The sequence below is a fragment of the Homo sapiens genome, chromosome 4, assembly GCF_000001405.40.
Source record: "Homo sapiens chromosome 4, GRCh38.p14 Primary Assembly".
Classification (NCBI taxonomy): domain Eukaryota; kingdom Metazoa; phylum Chordata; class Mammalia; order Primates; family Hominidae; genus Homo; species Homo sapiens.
The window spans coordinates 179,600,551-179,619,032 of NC_000004.12; positions in this window are offsets into that span (position 1 = coordinate 179,600,551).

The following is an 18,482-nucleotide window of genomic DNA, read 5'->3' on the forward strand; positions in this document are numbered from 1 at the left end:
TATTAAAATATAGTCACTAGACCTTCAATAACAGTGAAGCTCACTTCTATATTACCTAAAAATATTATTGTTTACATGGTATAATAATGCTCCTGGGAAGTCTTCTCAGATATCTGAATATAAACAAAGTCTCTTAATGGAAGGGGCTGTCAAAAATTGTAGTGTAATTCCATATGTGTGGCTTTATGAACATTCACATACAAAACAACACACACGTGTGTATGTGTCAGACATATGGTGTTGTAATGCCTTTATAAGAGGGCTTCACTACATAATAACTTACTATAAAACAAATGTTGTTATTTAAATTATTACCAGCAGAAAATTGCCTGTTGTACTGTATTTTATAGAGAAGACAGCTCATAAATGCACTAAAGTGCAAAGACATTTTTAAAAAGGCAATAATGAATTTTCAATAATGAAGCCTAGTAATAGCAGTGTAAGAAAGCATCTGAAAGCTGATAAAATCTATATTTTAGCACTGTTTCTATATGTACAAGGTAAGGCTTTCTGATCTCAATTGTCAGTATGAATTTTTTGTTTCAATTTATAAAGATCAAATTCACATTTTTGAAGTGAGTTATTATTGCATATCTTCATTTAAGGTCAGGCACAATTTTGAACATGTTAATCAAAAAGAATACTTATTGTCATATCTCACTTCTGACATTTAAGAAAAACTCTTCATGCAAATTAAGTATGTGACTACACTACCAAAAGAGTGTATCAAATACTTAACACAGAAATACAATGAACTTCTCTATATTGACTGAAGTCCTTCATGTGCCTCTTCTCAAGTGCAAATTAGACTCAGATTTCTCCTCTTTGAAGTACAGTTACCCTTGTACATACACTGCTTAAAGCGTTACTTATATCTATCATGAATCAAAATTAAAGTATCCCTTTAAAATATTTCCAGGCACAAGATTTTTATATCTTATAAAAAATACCCAATTCAGAAGGATTGTTGGATTCATCAAGCTATTTTTTTGTAACTTATAATTGGCTTTTTAAAAACTGAAAATATCAGTTTATTTTCTCCTAAGATAATTTCCTTCAAATACTCAACTTCTTTATCACATCTGATTTTTAATGATTACCTATTTTCTTCTAATTTCCAGAGTCTCTCTATTTATAATACAAATTGTACTTCATCACACAGGAACCTTAATTGGATATAATTGGGATGAAAGTGTTCTCACTCATGCTTTACGAGTCTCAAAGGCAAAAAAAAAAAATGTAGCAAATCAGCACAAAAACCCACACCCTTCTTTCCACGGTGGTGGAGAGGAAGCTCACAGGAAGCCCTGGCAGTCAGACTTGGCAACTGCTCACTCTCACTGGAGCTTTCATTGCTAGAGTGAGCACTCCATTTCCAAGAGTCTTTCATCTATCTGAGCATCCATTGACAATCATGTACAGCAGAAAATAGTACCTTGTGTAATCAAGGGAGTTTTCCAAAACCTGGTAAGTAAAACCAGGATGCCAGGCAAGGTTAGAATGCCACAGAATAAATAGGGGCTGCTTTGTTCTGGTTTAGTAAATTTGTTTAGCTTTTCTTATGTCCCATTTCAATGATGTGCTGTTGTTTCAAAAGGGATAGGACAAGGTATTTGCCCTTGGCTTCCAAGGGCAAAATCTCTTGGATTTTACTCTACGTAGAGGATATGTCTTTGATCATGTCATTTTTTTTCTGTCTCTCAAATTTATATTTAACTATCCTTTAATAAATTAGAGAGCATCATGCAATTTCAACAACAAAAAATTATTGCTTAATTCTATGGGGTCACATTGTGAATTTATTATCTAATTTCGGTATAATATTCATCTTCTATTATGGTCCAATAAGCAGAAGAACAATGAGACTTCATCTCTTGTTTTAAATCCTACTTTAATTCTTACCAAGTGGTTTATTTGATCATAATTATTTTGGCATCAGTGTAAACCTGGCTATTATTGTTTATCCAGCATAAGCCCGTGAGACACCTGAAAACTTCACATGACAAAATGATGCAGAAAATTTCATTACATTTCTGTAAAAAGTCATACACTTAGTGTTGCAGGTCAGGTTCCCTGGGAAACAGACTGGAGCTGGCGATTTGTGTGCTAGAAGTTTATTAAGGAGTGCTCTCAGGATCAACTCCTGAGAGAAAGAAAAGAAAGCAGGATTTAGTAGGGAGAAATTAGGCTGCTGCATAGTCACCACAAAGGCCTAAGTCTGTCCTTTAGGTAGTTCTAGAGCTGGTATGGCCTACCAAATTTGCCTTATGAAAGGTATGGTATCTGGATCTTTATACCTCATAGCATCCAACCATGTACACATGAGATCACAGATAAGGCAGGAGAAGCAAATCTCTTCAGCAAAGGGCAATCAATCGCCAGGAGCCACAACACTGTGGCACCACAGTTAACGCTCCAAGGATCCAGAGAAATGTGTGCTTTCACTTTGAAAGGTGGTGTGGAATATTGGAGTTGTAGCCTGTGGCATCCATTACTCACATGTTAATATATCTTGATTCAGTACTAACCTTTTTTTCTTGAATTTTTGGAATTAAGGGCTTGGTACATATTTGACCATTGGAAATCCAAATACTTCCTGTTTTATATCACAGAAATGTTGGTGCCTTCATAGCACCAAGACATGTAATTCATCAAAATAGTACATATAGTTCCTTTCCTTTTTTCTGTATCCTTGATTCTTGTCCCACATCTTATGTGTACACTTTGTTAGAAGCAGATCTTTGAGCAGCAACTAAAGAAGTGTTCAGCTAGTCCTGTGTCTGCTGTTATAGGAAGAAGTGTGTTTCCTCAAAGTTGGAGTAGATGTAGCCAAGTAGATCGTGAGTAGCTACTGAAGTGCTAGCAGCAGCAGTATGATGCAAAAAAGCACACGCTGGCACCCCTTTTTGATAAACTAGCAGATACAATGATTTTTTCTTTCCATTATAAATACAACTATTTGGGCAGATACAGCAGTAAGCCTTGATCAATTTTCATGGAAAGATAACAGTTATGAATAATAGTGTAAAACAAACAGAACACAGGCTTATATCATTTGCAAACTCAATAACTGAATTTTGAAAAGTTTAAAATTGACTGTATAATGAAATATTGAAAAAGAGTTGGGAATAAGAGAGAAGCACTATGCATTAGACAGTTGTATCCTCTGAAATGTTCCTGCTTATTGGATCATCCTTGGGCACTTTTCCTGAGAAAGGCTCAGACAAAGCTGTAAATAGAGGCAGTTTGGGGATCAATGGCCAGAACCTAGGGCCTTGAATATTGAGTCAGAGGTATGGAATCTATCACAGTTTCAATCAAACCACGAAATGTTTGGAAATGGCCAATAAAAGTCCAAACAAAAAATCAATACATTTCTAACATCTAGAATTGAATAAGTAACAGAAGATGGTGATCAAATATGGAACACAAGATTCTGAAACAACAAATCTGACTGGCAGAATAATAAATAGTGCTCTTAAACAGCAGGTGTTAAAAAGGTTGTGAAAATATGATTGCAAGTCATAAAATATCTTAGCACCTAAAATGTTCAAGCACTGAGCTATATCAAATTTTCAGGATCTGTCCTCAAATAATATGTAGAGGCATGTAAGTTGACAAAGAAAGAGAGAAAGAAAGAGAAAGAAAGAAAAAGAAAGAAAGAAAGAGACAGAAAGAAAGGAAAAAAGAAAGAAAGAGAGAGAGGGAGGGAGGAAGGAGAAAAAAAGAAAGAAAGAAAGAGGGAGGGAGGGAGGAAGGAGAAGAAAAAGAAAGAAAGAAAAAGAAAGAAAGAAAGAAAGGCTTGTAGTGCTCTTATATACCAGATATTAGCTAAGCATCCTAAAAGGTTTTTGTTTGTTTTTTTTTTTTTTGAGACAGGGTCTGGCTCTGTCACCCAGGCTGGAGTGCAGTGGCACAATCTCAGCTCACTGCAACCTCCAACTCCCAGGCTCAAGGGATTCTCCCATCTCTCAGCCTCCTGAGTAGCTAGGACTACAGGCATACCCGCCTAATATTTAAATATTTTGTAGAGACAGAGTTTCACCATGTTGCCCAGACTAGTCTCCAACTCCTGAGCTCAAGCCATCCACCGGCCTCAGCCTATCATAGTGCTGGGATTACAGGCATGAGCCACCACTCCTGGCCTCTAAAAGTTAAAGGATAATAATTATATTCCTTAATTTAAAAATAGATAGATGTACTCATTCTCATCTTATATTTGAGGAACTGGCTTGGGAAAGTTAAGTAATTTACCCAAGTGGACACAGCCAGTAAGTAATAAACCAGATATTTTTTCCCTCTCCAATTTCTTTTCTATTCCTCTTAAGTTTTCCTTTAAAATAAGTACATAATAGGATAACACTGTTTATAATTTTCAAGATTGTAGTAATTTTTGTCACATTTTCTGTAATATTTTTCACTTGATAAAATTTGAAGAAAATTACAATTATGATAATCATCTTTATGTATACAAGACTCAGCATATAATGAAAAATGTTATAGACAAAAAGCATCACAAACCACACTCACTCATTTCCATCTCTATTTGAAAACAAAAGCTATGGCCCTACTTGGATGACATGCATGAAGCCCGCAAAGCTAAGGTAAATGTGTAACTTTTCCAAAAGAAAATGGACCTATTTGGGAAGGTTGGAATTTTACCAAAAAATTTTAATATAAAGACCCCTTCAAAGTTGCTTGTTGGATGGAAAATCAAAAGAAGTTACAGGATATCAAAGAGAGTGTGGTAAGTTCATGTATCCTGGAAATTATTCAGCTATTTCATAAATTTAATCAGAGGAGTGGAATGTAATTACCATGCCTGCCCACTGATGTCGTCACTTTTGAATCACTCGTCTTTCTTCAGTATTTTTCAGTAAAACATAGTAGATTTCTCAGCTCTGCCGCTTTCTGTCAACACACATCTGCACAACAGTATTCGTAACTTCTCAGCAACCTAGTTTTTAAGCATCTGTCTATCCGAGTACATGTTGAATTGTAAAGGAGAATTTCTATTTTGTGATGCCCTTCAGAAAACAAGAAAGGCAGTTGATACTTTCAAAACCTGCAAATAATTTCTAAGTAAAAGTTTTGAAGAAAAGTCTTCTCACTCTGAGCTCAGATAGAAAACATGTGATGTTGTGTATTTCATTTAATTTTGCTACATGAATGAAGGATACAACTCCAGATGGCTTTGTGACTCATGATTTTCTGTGTGAATACCCATCAGCATCAATGCCTCTGCTAATGAGGCCAAAATGCATTTTCCTATAGGGACGAAAATCTTAACTTTATAATCTGGGTCAAAGAAGATCTTGATTAAATAAAGTCTCTGAAGAAACATTAGGGTGATATATCTTTATCTATTATGTAGAGAGTCAGTGGTTTCTTAAAAATAGGACATGTCTTAAAACATACCTTTGTATATAAATAATTGTTTTTTGAAAAGAGATTGGTCAATTTCTGAATAATTCAGGAAGAATGAATTCTTCCAGTGCCTCACTGTCTTGGATGATTTTGACCATATTTATGAGAACCCTTTTTCTTTCTTTAAGACCCTGAGGTCACCATTATGGATGCTGTTTAAAGAACCATGTAGTCTTTTCCATCCTGCCACTCTGGAAGAAGAGATCGAGAGCTCAATTATGCAAACTTTGCAAAGCTGGTAAAAGCACTTCTTCAAGATGGAATTGACAACTACAAAGTCTTGTCAGTTTCTTTGTGGACAGAAATCCCCAGATACCTGAAAACAAAGAACATTTTAAAATGTTTCCTTCAGATGAATTTAAAATTGAAATGTGGATTCATAATACCTTCTGTGCTAATAGAGTCAGCATCCATAATACAGCCCCTATCCAAATTGACTTTAGCACCAAGGAGGTAAGAAAAAGGAAATATTGTGCCATTAATTTAATTAAAATTAGTCGAGAAGAATTCTGGCATTATTTGGCACAATTCTATCTTTATCTGAAAAAAGTAAGTAGGAAGTTTCTGCTTATTGTGTATATTTGAATCTACATTCTTGAGTAGGATTTTGTATTTCCAAAATCATAAAATGTGCAAAATGTTGTATTTCTTTATGTTCATTATTATCAGAAGGAGGTACTTACGTTTTATCAAAATATCCAAGGAAAGTGTCACTCCAAAGTATTCATTTCCTCAACATAATTATTTTAAATAAAATAATAAAAATACAGTATAATTGTAAAAATAATATGCATTTATATATCATTTTATAATTCATTACAGTAACAGTATGAGTTCTGATTTCACTTTTTGCACTTGAGAAATGAGGGACTTAAGAAAATTAGACGGCTTGTTTAGGGTAGGTAAGGGGCAGATCCAGGTATTAACAAGCGTCTTCTTACCCTAAAGCATACACTGTCCTGATTTCCTTTAAGGAGAGGTAAGTAAAGGGCCCCCAGAGCTCTGAGGGAAGGCTTGATCCTAAGTGGTCCCTTAGACTGAGTTTTAAAGGAAGTTAGTGTTTGAACTGAGGCTTGAAACAAGACAAGAATTTCATTGGAAAGGGGAAAAAAATCCAATTCATGGTACCAAAATAAGCAGAAACTAAGAACAGTACTTGTGAAGACAGGCTGAGTCATCTGATGCAGCTCTTTCTATGAGTTTTTGAAAAATTATTGTTACGGTCATCTCATTTTGAGAAAGGAGGAAAGGAAGAGCAGATGGCCTCGGGTTGGGGAATTTCCTACAATATATTGTTATAATTAACTTACTTCGGCTGAAACTAAGATTAGAGATTAGAGAGCGTATGCTTAGGTGGTAGACATATTTGGTTTATGATGTTCTATGCATCAGAGACAATTTGTAAAAAGAGGGGAATGTTAAAATTTTGAATATGATTAAGCTTTGTCAGCCTAAGTGTGTTAGCTATTAACTGATAATGATTAGGGACTCATTTTCTCCAAGCTGTCTTTAGGCATCATTGCTAAGCCAGTAGCCATTCAGTCCTCCTTCCATGCTGGCAGAGCTTCGGTTTGTTCACTTGCTCCTTTCTCTTCCTAAGACTCAGAGTCACATCTTTATTAGTGTAAGCCAGTCATTTAGGTCTCATGTCCCTTAACAGCACTTTATTTGGGAATAGATATTCATTGCAATTTTGGCCAAGAAACAGAAGTAAACTGCTACAACCAACTTTTTACCAGGAGAGAGAAAAGCCAACTAATGACTAATGGAGAAAATAGTAGGAAAAGAAACCTGGGGCACTTGGTGACATCAGTTCTTCAAACTACAATACCTTGAGGAATTTCTTAGTGAGCTAAAACACATTCCTTATTTTATAAGGTGATTCCATTAGAGTTTTCTATGCCTCGCAACAGGAAGCATTATCACTGACATGACCTGAGTGAGACTAACTCCAATGAAACAGAATCACAGCACTAAAACTGTCATTTATTATGTACTTATATCAGGAAAATGTACTTAAATGTACCTAAAAAATGTACTTTAAAATGTGCTTAAAACACAAAATCAGTAGTAAGATATAACAGCAAATTAAGGAGAAAAGTAAACATTTATACTAAGAAGGGAAGTTCAGAAAGGTAATTGGGGTTTTTCTATAGTGGAATATTAGCCTTGTATTTTGGGAAGACAGTCCTGACAGAATTTCTGTAGAACAGTATAAAAACTGGAAAAATGTAAGATATATCAGAAATGTCAGATTGATAATAACCACGATTCTTTTTGACCACAGGGAAGACTGGTAGACTAAAGATGGCTGCACATATTTAGGGAAACCCCATTGAGAGAATGGGGCCTTATTCCCCCTTCCCTTGAATCTGAGGTAACCTGTGGCTACTTTTGACCAATAAAGTGTGGCAGATGCCATGACATCATGTGGTTCTCAGTCTTGCCTTTAAGAAAATGGGCAGCTTCCTTCTTGCTCTCTTGGAGTCTTTTGGGTTGCTGTATCAGAAGTCCACTCTCTTGGTAAGACCACAAAAAGAAGCTCTGAGTTGACCTCAGCAGAGAGAATGGCCCAGATGAGCCCATTGTTCCAGATGTTTATGCCAAATTTCAGGCATGTGAGTGACATAATCTTAGACACTCCAGACAAACTTAATAACCAGTTCAGTAACACCAAGTAACCCCAGAAGAGGCCACATAGAGCAGAAGAATTGATCAAATTCTTGATCCACTAGTGATGAGATAAAAGAATTGTTTTTTGAAGCCCCTGAATTTTGGGGATTTTTTGCATTTTTTTGTTATTGTTGTTGCTTTGTTAGCACATGGGCACGGTGGCTCATGCCTGTAATTTTGGCACTTTGGGAGGCCAAGGCAGGCAGATCACCCCAGTTCGAGACCAGCCTGGTGAAACCCTGTGTTTTGTAAAAATACAAAAATTAACAGGGCATAGTGGTGCATGCCTATAGTCCCAGCTACTCGGGAGGCTGAGGCAGGAGAAACGCTTGAACCTGGGAGGCAGAGGTTGCAGTGAGCCTCCCAGCCTGGGCAACAGAGCGAGACTCCACCTCAAAATAAATAAATAACTGAAATAAATATAGACAAAATAAATGTAGTTATGAATTCTTAGGTTATTGTGGTTACTTAAACCCAGTTTGCCAATGGACTGAGGACATTAAGAATAAAAAAAGGCAAGATAACTCAAGAAATGGTAAAAATTTAATATTGATAGAATTTAGTGATGCATGAAATTTTGATGGTCCAGTGAAGGAGAGGGAGGTGTGCCAGATGATCACTTTATGCTATCCTAGAAGGCAGAAAATATTCTCTCAATTGTCTTAACCAGTATCTGGAACTGAGTAGAAAGGGCACATTTCTAAGGAAGAGGTGTAGAATAAGTTTCACATTTTCTGAGAAATCATTTGGATGTCCATGGAAATTTTAGAGTTCAGAAGATAAAGAAAACCAGGCTGGGCGTGGTGGCTCATGCCTGTAATCCCAGCGCTTTGGGAGGCTGAGACGGGTGGATTGCTTGAGAGCAGCCTGGCCAACAGGGCAAATCCTCGTCTCAACTGAAAATACAGAAGTTAGCCGGGTGTGGTGGCAGGCACCTGTACTCCCAGGTACTTGGAAGGTTGAAGCATGAGAATCCCTTAAACCCAGGAGGCGGAGGTTGCAGTGAGCTGAGAATGAGCCACATTGCGCTCCAGCCTAGGTGACAGAATAAAACTCTGTCTCAAATTAAAAAAAATACAGAAACAAAAAATAAAGAAAACCAGAGATAATGTTTAGAAGTTATAGACAAGGCAAATTTCAATGCACAGAAATATTTTAATCCTCGTAAAAATGGTTGAATAAAATGCTGCTTATAGCAGTTCATTCATATAGAAACTATATATTTTATACTATTTCACTGGACTTTTTCAAAATTTTACAAAGAAAAACTCAGTCTTTTAGGCCCACCTACACCAAAAAAATAGCATTCTTATTTACTCTCTTGGGCATTAGCTACAAAAAATGAAGAATTGTGTTAGTTTCTGTGATTTTTTTAATCTACAGAAAAATTGTGTACTTAAAAAAGTCAAGTATTTAACCTGAATTATTTCTCAATTGAAATAAACTTTCTTTAAAAATCTATAATTTTATTTAGGCTGCTGTTTAAACTGTAGATAAAGGTGTGGCAAATGTATAATTATGCATTTCATTTTCTTCTATTTTTTATGAACATGAGGCATTTTTCGTTATTTAAATATTTAAAGTTTCCTTATATTAAAGTATATTAAAACACAATTTAGATTTAGGATTGACTGAGCCACAACTTGTTCAAGAATATTCGAATTATTTTTCCAACAACAGTTTTAGACAAAGTTTGATTCTATGATGAATGCTCTTTCAATGGAAATAAATCATACTACTGAAGGTAAAGAAGTCTGTTATTGAGGTCAATTACCACGTCAGGGTGTCCTTGAAGCCTCAGCAATTGAATGGTCATGTCTATAGCCTGGAGAATGTAAGGCTGGAAACATATTTTTGATGATTATGAGCAAGTTAGTGTGAATGGTGATTGCAACAAGCAGAACTGTAGGTCTGGAGGGGAAATAATAGTCACCGGCGGCATCTTCCAGAGCACTAACAAACAATGATTCCTGGCAAGAATGACTATATCACATTTTGTAGAAATACAGATGAATTTCAAGCCTATTCTACCAGCCTAAATTTAAGAATTACCTGGCTTTGTTCAACCACCTCATGAATGCCTCTCATGATACTTAAAACTAAATAAACTTTATCTAGAGATCTTTCTGCATAAAATTTCTGCTTCTGTTTTTCATTTTTTCATATACACAGACACACAAACACAGGATGTAATAATAAAAAAATCACATGACTTAATTCATAATTGTCATTAAATATAACCAAATGCTAAAATTTGTATGCTATATGCATAGATATATAGATACATAGATATTTATGTATATGTCCATCTATGTGGATCAGTAAGATGTAAATATATATATATATATATGAAATTATGCACATACTTAGTTTTACATTGGAATTTTTCTGATTCTAATGCAAGGACAATATATATGTATATATATTCATTAATTCACACATATATTCATATATATATATATATAAGTTTTCATCAGCTATGAATATATGGCAGATAATTCACTAAAAATGAAACTTTCCATCGTAAAATTGTAGGCATTTATGTGAAATAATTGATCTTGAATTAATGTGAGAAATATACTTGTTTCCTTCCTTCTACCACAAAAAGTACATGAGGAGCAGTTAGATACCTATAAAACTGCAAATAACAGAGAAATTTTAATATATTATTCAGATGCCCAACCTCTTTCTATAGCTCTCAAGTCCATCTCAAATACTAGTCCCAATGGCTCTTGGTATATCGATTTAGATCAGAGCCTCTCCTCTAAGGAGAAGCCATTTGGTCTTAATGCTTCTAGACCTCACAGAGGTTCCCAGTCTCCTGGCCCCAGAATACTCTGTTTTTACAGGGGCACATTGCAAAACCTGAACTTTCAGGAAAGGGTGAGAACGTTTTGGAGATGCTTCAGAGTAACTGTAAAAGGAGTGTGAGTTATGGGATTGCTTGTCAAAGGAGAGTCATAGCATGGACCTGCGCTCCCATTACAGCTTCCTGGGCAGCTTTGGATCGACTGCCATTAGAAGGTACTATTAGTCCAGCACCTTGATCTTGGACTTCTCAGCTTCCAGAACTGTGAGAAAATAAACTTCTGTTCTTTATGTTCTTTCTTTCTTTATTTTTTTAATAGACGGAGCTTCGCACTTGTTGTCCAGGCGGGAGTGCCAATATCCCTGATGAACATCAGTGCAAAAATCCTCAATAAAATACTGGCAAGCTAAATCCAGCAGCACATCAAAAGCTTATCCACCATGATCAAGTGGGCTTCATCCCTGGGATGCAAGGCTGGTCCAACATATGCAAATCAATAAACGTAATCCAGCTTATAAACAGAACCAAAGACAAAAACCACATGATTATCTCAACAGATGCAGAAAAGGCCTTTGACAAAATTCAACAGCCGTTCATGCTAAAAACTCTCAATAAATTAGGTATTGATGGGACATATCTCAAAATAATAAGAGCTATTTATGACAAACCCACAGCCAATATCATACTGAATGGGCAAAAACTGGAAGCATTCCCTTTGAAAACTGGCACAAGACAGGGATGCCCTCTCTCACCACTCCTATTCAACATAGTGTTGGAAGTTCTGGCCAGGGCAATCAGGCAGGAGAAAGAAACAAAGAGCATTCAATTAGGAAAAGAGGAAGTCAAATTGTCTCTGTTTGCAGATGACATAATTGTATATTTAGAAAACCCCATTGTCTCAGTCCAAAATATCCTTAAGCTGATAAGCTACTTCAGCATAGTCTCAGGATACAAAATCAAGATGCAAAAATTACAAGCATTCCTATACAGCAATAACAGACAAACAGAGAGTCAAACTATGAGTGAACTCCCATACACAATTGCTTCAAAGAGAATAAAATACCTAGGAATACAATTTACAAGGGATGTGAAGGACCTCTTTAAGGAGAACTACAAATAACTGCTCAAGGAAGTAAAACAAATGGAAAAACATTCCATGCTCATGGATAGGAAGAATCAATATCATGAAAATGGCCATACTGCCCAAAGTAATTTACAGATTCAATGCTATCCCCATCAAGCTACCACTGACTTTCTTCACAGAATTGGAAAAAACTACTTTGAATTGCATATGGAACAAAAAAAGAGCCCGCATAGCCAAGACAATCCTAAGCAGAAAGAACAAAGGTGGAGACATCACACTACCTGACTTCAAACTATACTACAAGGCTACAGTAACCAAAACAGCATGGTACTGGTACCAAAACAGATATACAGACCAATGGAACAGAACAGAAGCCTCAGAAATAACACCACACATCTGGAGCCATCTGATCTTTGACAAAACTGACAAAAACAAGCAATGGGGAAAGGATTCCCTATTTAACAAATGGTGCTGGGAAAACTGGCTAGCCATAGGCAGAACACTGAAACTTGATCCCTTCCCTACACCTTAAACAAAAATTAACTCAAGATGGATTAAAGCCTTAAATGTTAGACCTAAAACCATAAAAACCCTAGTAGAAAACCTAGTCAATACCATTCAGGATGTAGGCATGGGCAAAGACTTCATTACTAAAACACGAAAAGCAATGGCAGCAAAAGCCAAAATCAACAAATGGGATCTAATTAAACTAAAGAGTTCTGCATAGTAAAAGAAACTGTTATCAGAGTGAACAGACAACCTACAGAATGGGAGAGAATTTTTGCAATCTATCCATCTGACAAAGGACTAATATCCAGAATCTGCAAGGAATGTAAACAAATTTACAAGAAAAAAATAAACATCTCATCAAAAAGTGCAAAAAGTGGGTGAAGGATATTAACAGGCACTTCTCAAAAGAAGATATTTATGTGGTCAACAAACATATGAAAAAAAGCTCATCATCATTGGTCATTAGAGAAATGTAAATCAAAACCACAATGAGATACTATCTCACTCCATTTAGAATGGTGATCATTAAAAAGTCAGGAAACAACTGCTGTGGAGAAATAGGAATGCTTTAACACTGTTGGTGGGAGTATAAATTAGTTCATCCATTGTGGAAGACAGTGTGGCAATTCCTCAAGGATCTAGAACCAGAAATACCATTTGACTCAGCAATCCCATTACTGGGTATATACCCAAAGGAGTATAAATCATTCTACTATAAAGACACTTGCACATGTATGTTTATTGTAGCACTGTTCACAGTAGCAAAGACTTGAAACCAATCCAAATGCCCACCAATGATAGACTGGATAAAGAAAATGTGGTACATATACACCATGGAATACTATGCAGCCATAAAAAAGGATGAGTTCATGTCCTTTGCAGGGACATGGATGAAGCAGGAAACCATCGTTCTCAGCAAACTAACACAGGAACAGAAAACCAAACACCCCATGTTCTCACTCATAAGTGGGAGCTGAACAATGAGAACACTTGGACACAGGGAGGGGAACATCACACACCGGGGCCTGTCGGGTGGTAGGGGGATAAGGGAGAGATAGCATTAGCAGAAATACCTAATGTAGATGATGGGTTTGTGGGTGCAGCAAACCACCATGGCACATGTATACCTATGTAACAAACCTGCACATTCTGCACATGTATCCCAGAAATTAAGGTATAATTTAAAAAACAAACAAACAACAAAAAGAAAAAAACAGGCCAGGTCAAATATATCTGCAAGCTGAGCTTCCAAACTCGTCCTCAGTTTAAGGGCTCAGATAATCAACACGTCTCTAAACCCAGGGGCTACAGACCGAATTGTGTCTCCGCGAAATTCATATGTTGAAGCCCTAAGCTGCAATGTGATGATATTTGGAGATGATGCCATGGTGAGATAATTAGGTTTAGATGTGGTCATGAGAACAGGGGCCTCATCATGGGACTAGTGCTCTTCTAAGAAGAGAAGGAGACTAAAGCTTGCTGGCTTGGCTCTGTGAGGACACAGCAAGCTAGGAAGAGAGCCTTTGCCAGGAACTGGATCTGCCAGCACCTTGATCTTGGACTTCTCAGCTTCCAGAGCCGTGAGAAAATAAACTTCTGTTCTTTATTTTATTCATTTATTTATTTTTTAATAGACGGAGTTTCACACTTGTTGTCCAGGATGCAGTGCAATGGCTCAATCTCGGCTGAATGCAACCTCCTCCTCCTGGGTTCAAGAGATTCTCCTGCCTCAGCCTCCCGAGTAGCTGGGACTATAGGCGCGTGCCACCACGCCCAGCTAATTTTTTGTATTTTTAGTAGAGACAGGGTTTCATCATGTTAGCCAGGATGGTCTCGATCTCCTGACCTCATGATCTGCCCGCCGTGGCCTCCCAAAGTGCTGGGATTACAGGCATGAGCCACCATGCCCAGCCAACTTCTGTTCTTTATACAACACCAGATCTATCATATTTTGTTATGGCAGCCCAAACTGATTAATAAAACAGCAGCGCTTTAGAGTCAGGTGTTTTAGTTTTTCTGGGTGCCAGAGTTAAGGTAAAATGCCAGGCATTTGACTAGAAACGAGGTTTCAAAGCCTGATCCATATGTAGAAAAGGAATAAAAATAATTGTACGTGTATCTTTGGAAAGAAAATGGAATGAAGTCAAAGCAGACTTATTAGTGAAACACACTAAAGAAGCAAGGAATAGTCAGAGGTATCAAGACTTCTCCACTGCAAGGAGCTGGATGCAAGAACAGGATCTGGTATACCATGCTTGAGGACATCAGACTGGCTGTCCTGAATGTAGTTAGGAGGCCAGCTTCGGAGATACTGAGATAGAATCTGGAGCATGCTTTGGAGATATTGATGTTTCATATGCATGTGAATGAAACTGTGAACAGGGAGAGAGCTGCTAGGAACACTGGTGGTTTTTCACACTTGGAAGTGGAAGAAGACCTACTAAGGGAACAGAAGTCACTGGCTCAATGTAAAGCAGCAAATCATCTGGGAAGACCTGTGAAGTGTCAGAAAATCTTTAGGATTCAGGGTGACAAGAAACACAGGGAAAATGCTATGGAATATAATTTAGAGGAATGCACTGATGAGAAGACTAGACAGAATTTATGGCCTGTTTACCACGCAGTGAGAGCACTCCTTTCAGACTTGGGCATCTAAGAATTCAACAATCTAAAACACCTAGTAATCCTGATAAAATGTAAGAATCATTCTTCATATTGCTAGCTAACCTTCAAGAAATAAGGTAACGTCATAGAAACCAAATTTAAAAAGTAGCAGGAATCCAGAGTAATGGATTAAAGCTCAAGCTTGTCTCTAGGGCAATTCGCCAGAACTCACTGAGTCCCTAGATTTGTTTCAGCAAAGCTGAGCCTTTCATATAATCCTCCGTTGAAGGGAGAACTGGAGGATGGATATACAGGATGGGGTTTGTGTGTGTGTATGTGTATTCTAGCAGTACGTACTCTGGTGACAAGAGACATCAACAAAGCTTGTCTCTTGTAGCCCATGTGCTGGGGTAAACTATCTTTCCACTGGAAAATTTACACTGCCCTTCTTGATCAAAGTTAAGAGTCAGATTTTTATTGACAATATGACCAAGTAAAATCACAGTCACAAAAATAATGTAAAAGGGATTACATTTATAGCTTCATAGGTTCTTTGCAAAAGGAAAAGCAGATCCTCTCAGGTGGAACAAATGTTCAACGCAGGCTTCCTGCATCTCCCATAAATAAATCTTCATGGATCTGAGCTTACTGATCAAGTTATCAAACAGAGAGAGACATAAGCCAACATCACCCAGAGACGTTAGAATTAATGAAGAGCAGAAGGAGACCCCCAAGAATGTTGATTTTAGAATCAGGGTTTTAAAGTGTCTACAGAACTAAAAGTTAAGCACTATCCCAAATATTAGGCAAATACGAAAAAGCAAAATAGAGTACTTTTAAAAATGAAAATAAGCGCTAAAATTAAGATCCCAAAAGACTGCTAATTATAACTTACTAAACAGTGACTTGGTGAAATAGGTATTAAACAGAATTCAGTTAAGTGAGAACTACAGAATCTTAATAGAGAGGTTAGAAAAATGCAGATTTAATAGTGAGATATAGTATTATAATAGAAATGCAAACTACACAAGAATGTGAACTGTATTAGAGACATTCACTATTATGAGCTATATAATATACATAATAGATACATGTTTGAACTTTCAGAAGAAGCAGAGAGAAACAGTAGCAAAAACCCATGTTTAATAGCATTTTACATTTTTTCTAGAAATAATTTTAAATCTAAATCTTTAAATTTGGGAACTATTTTAAAAAACAATGTTACCAATAAACAGAGACTAGCAGATTGGTCTGTTGTATTAAACCTACAAATTAAAAGCCAAGAAGAATATTATAAAAGCAGCCAGAGAGAAAAGAAAAAAGGCCCTAACCCAAGACTGACCATTGGAATAAGAGAAATCTGCAAATCACAGGAGTTTAAAGCAGAGGATAGTCGAGTTATAAATAAAGAACACTGAAATAGACGGGGCGGGGTGGCTCACGCCTGTAATCCCAGCGCTTTGGGAGGCCAAGGCAGGTGGATCACCTGAGGTCAGGAGATCGAGACCAGCCTGACCAACATAGTGAAATTCTGTTTCTACTAAAAATACAAAAAATTAGCTGGGCGTGGTGGCGGGTGCCTGTAATCCAAGCTATTTAGGAGGCTGAGGCAGGAGAATTGCTTGAACCCCGGAGGCAGAGATTGCAGTGAGCCGAGATCACGCTATTGCACTCCAGCCTGGGCAACAAAAACAAAACTCCATTCCCCCCAAAAAAGAATATTAAAATAATAGCCATTAATCTAGAACATTAAAATTGCTAGTATATCATTCAAGAAAAATAAAATAAAAACTGTGACATTCGCACCTTCTTCCAAAAATGAACTTCTAAATGTTGTGCTATAGGAAGACTACAAAATCTGAATACACCTATATTCATTAAACAAACAGAATTAGGAGGCAAAAATAAGTTTAAAAATTGGTCCTGACGAATATTTAAGAGAGAAAAGTTGCAATTGGATACAAAATCTGCCAAAGATTAGAGAACAGTGGAACACTCTAAAATTCATGTCATACTAGTTATAACCTTAAAAAACAAACCAAAACAAGATGAGAAGGTAAATGAGACAGGATAGGCTAGGCTGTTTTGCATACATTATTTCAATACATTCTCAGAGCTACCCTATGAGATAAGTACAGAATAATTATTTACTGTTACAGATAAAGAAATTCAATCCAGAAATGTGAAGTTACTTGTCCCATGCTACGCAAAGCAGAGACAGGACGTTAACGTAGTTTTATTTAAGAGACTGCAATTACTAATGTGAGACGAATATCCTGTTTCCACTCCTTTTTAATTATGTAATCTTGGGCAAGTAATTTAACCTTCCCAAGCTTCAATTTCTTCCTCTATAAAAGGAAGTATGTATACTAACAAAAGAAGTTTTCATAATTATTAAGTGTAAGTAGTTTTGAGGATTATATGCGATAAAGGAGGAGATTTAAATCCATATAAAATCTGTAAGCCAGCATCTAGTGGAAAAATATTAAATACCATTTATTAATAAATTATTAATGTATGAATTTTTATTATTGTGCTCTACTCAATATTGTAAATGTGTGCTTTTTTAAAAAAAACTCAAATATATTTAGGCTAGAATGTTTATCTACAGTGAAAAACGAGACCCTCTAATAACATGAATCTCCAAGATTTCCTGGAGGGGCTATAAACTAAGCCCAAGCTGCCTACCACTCAGCAAGTGCTGGGCAATTTGTGATTATATGAACATACCATAGATCTTATTAACAGTGTCTTTTCAAGGTTTCCTATTTTAAATAATTCTTTCTATATGTGTAAAATTACAATTGTTGTCTTTTACAAGATGGTCTGAGAGTAAAGGGGGACTTTTAAAGATATGGACTGTGAAATTGCCATTACCCTGGGTTTCACTCTGTAATCATTATTTTTCCAATTAGATAAATTTCACACATGACTACAGAAATAATGATGTGAAAATAATTTTTTTCCTATTTCAAGAATTTCGAGTGTTTTTGGGAGGAGGTTATATAATGAAGAAGATAGTAGCTCTAAAATAATATATTGGCATACTGGAATCTTAAGCTTCATTTCTGCAAATCACATACTTTATTCCTTTGATTGAAGAATAGGCCTAAGTTCATAGAACATAACAGGGAGAAAAATAAGCCTTATTTTTAAAAATTCAGTTTATGTAAACTGCCTCCACGTAGGAAAAGATGTGATAATTTTAAAAACATCTACCTAACAGATAATTAATATTGTACAAATAATTGAAAACAATATTAGTATTTTGTGGATATTTTAAAATTTTAATTGTACTCATATTGCGTTCTTAATAATTCTGATGACTTTTTCTAAACTATGTCTAACTCAACTGATTTGCTGGACCTGATACTC